This window comes from Homo sapiens, chromosome 1 (assembly GCF_000001405.40).
Source record: "Homo sapiens chromosome 1, GRCh38.p14 Primary Assembly".
NCBI lineage: Eukaryota > Metazoa > Chordata > Mammalia > Primates > Hominidae > Homo > Homo sapiens.
This window is the reverse complement of record NC_000001.11, coordinates 116,260,714-116,263,469: the sequence shown is the minus strand read 5'-3', so window position 1 is coordinate 116,263,469 and position 2,756 is coordinate 116,260,714.

The window sequence follows — 2,756 nt, the reverse complement described above, 5'->3', positions numbered from 1 at the left end:
CAAGGATCTAGGATCTGACAGGCCAGGACCTAGGGGCAACTGAGAGGTAGGCCTCGGTGTCTCCAACAGCAGCCCCCAGGAACAGCCTGTGGGGAGTTTCTGTTGACCTAGACCCTGGACCTAGTTCTGCCACCAGGCTCTACCCATATTAAGACTTGCTCTTTGGGCAAATGACAGCAACCACTCCAGCCTATGACTTTCCAATTGTTCCTGGACCTAAGCTGGTTCCAGTTGGATAAATCTGCATCAGAACAGAGAGGGATCCCTGGGAGTCTGTGGGAACTTGGGGGAATGGCAAGATAAGAGACAGCCGGATTAAAAGATTTAACAAAGAAAGCATTGCTTTCCATGGGACAATGCCCAGAGAGCTGGTTTTGAAGCTTTTGTGGAGTGGGATTTGTTTAGCCCAGGAACAAGAGGGTTTATATTTACCTAAGCCTCCACTGCTAGTCTGCTTGTCTTTTGGGAGACTGGGACTGTTCTAGGGTTCCTGGTCCATCCCACCCATGCTTTCCTCACAGCTTCCAGTCCCTGCCTGCTCCCATTTCAAGTTTGAAAATTTCTCTTTACGGGAAGGCTGTTAGGGGAGACAGACTTCCACAGCATGTGGGTGTGAGGGAGGATGAAAGACAGTGTGGTTCCCCAAGCCCCACCCCAACCAGCCCTAGCATGCACGTGGACACACACAGCTTCCATTCTGCCAGAAGAGATGGGTGCTGTCTTTCCCTGGGCTGCAAGACAGAGGCAGCCAGACTGGCCTACACAGGTTCCTTCCTGTCCTCTTTTCAGGAGTCTAGGCTTCTCAATTGGGACCTCATCTCCCCGCTGCCTGTGCACAGTGAGGTAGATTATAAACTCTAGGAGGGCAGATAGCATGACTGCCTTATTCACCAATGCTGGCGTATGAATTTAGTTGAATAAATGATTTGACGGTGTTTCAGGTATATCTATTAACCTGGCCCTCTCTGCAGTGCTGTGGTCCAGTGATTATACAAATATGCAGGCAGCGTGGGGGACTGGGGAAGTGGGGGGAACTGTGAATCTGCTACACAGGTCTGAGTGCTCATCAGTTCTCAGAGTGTGGAGTATGCGCTGGCTCTTCCAGCCTCCTTCACCTTACAGATGAGGAGCCAGGCCCGGGGAGGGAGGGAACCTCACCTCAGATGCAATCTCCACATGCCTCTTCACTCCCCTTCATGAGCCTGTAATTACTCTCCATGGCCTACCAAGTCCTACCTCCTTAGCCTGACACCCAAGGCCCCCACCAAACACCAACTTCATTCTCTAGTCTCAATTCTCCCCACATAAAAACCCCTTCTCTCAACTGTCCATGACATCTGGTACTTCAAGCACTAGGTAGTTCCTCGATCTCCATTGCCCTTTCTTTCTCCTCTTCATTTGAGAAACTTCTTTGCACTTTGGGTTCCATAGCCATCACCTCCTCTAAGATGTCTTCCTGGGATGCTTCCAGGTGGGCTCAGAGGAGACCCAGCCTTGAGTCTCAGAGTACCCTGTATCCTCTTCTGTGGTATACTTATCACATGCAATTGCGATGTAATTGTATTGCTTGGCTTCCTCCCTCATCTTCCTGCAGATCTTTGAGAGGAAGGCTCTTCTCTTTCACCCCCTAACACAGTGGCTGCCTGCCACACAATAGAAGCTCAAGGAATGTTGTTGAATGATAACAGTCACAATTTAATCAAACCAGGTACTTGTTAAAAGGTCTTTCCCTATATTAACCTATATTTTTTAGAGTATGTATTATTATAATCATCATGACCACCCCATTCTTGTGGAGAGGGAAGGGAAGCACAAGCAGCAGGCAGTGGGGCCAGGAGCAGAATGAGGCAGTCTGGCCTGAGGGCACAGGGACGCTAGCACCTCACCATCTCCTCCTGCCGGAGCCTCTTCTCTGGTCCATTGTCAGTCATGCTCTCAGCCATGCTCGGTCCCGCCTTCTCAGGAATCCTCCCCCTCTCCACTGCCTTTTAAAATTATAACGGTCTCTCTAGACCTAGTCACATTTTCCATGACCACTTTCTTTGCCCTCCAGCCCAAACAGCTCAATCTTGACCTCCCACAGCATTAAAATCAACATGTAGTTAACTACGTACTTTGATTCCTCCCTTAATTGTGTTGTAACATCGCATTCTTTCCAACACAAAGGCTGCTATGTGCTCCTTCAGGCAAGGGTCTGTGTCTCATGTCTTTTGTGTCTTCCCTCCCTTGTGCCCAGTGGACTGTCAGGAGCATGATAGTGCTCAGGAAATGCTTATCAATATTTGACAAAACACCTCAAAGTTGCATTGCATCTTTGCAGATGATTATGGCTATTTGATAGCCGTCATCATGTTGAAACATTGGCTTCCCCTCCACTTTTGGATGTGTGTTTGTCGGTGTTCTGATCTCAGGGTACATAGACAGCAGACTGGATTTGGGAGATTTTATGTAATGTACGATTCTTTGTCCTGTTCTCTGCAGATCAGAACTTTATTTGCAAATCTCTGAGTAACTCGATTCTTCTTTGTCCCACTCTCCCTTCGATTTCCTCACTTGACCCCTAGAGAGAAGGAAGGAGGTTCATACAGAACAGCTGTGGAGCTGAACTAGGAAGAGATAAGAAATAAAACAGAAAGGTGTGTCCAGGAAGGAGGCCTATAGCTCAGCTGGGGACAGGCATCAGATCTCATGTGCCCTATCTCCTTTTCTGGGGACACCCTTAATGGCCGGCTATTTTGCCACCCTGTTTGAAGGAT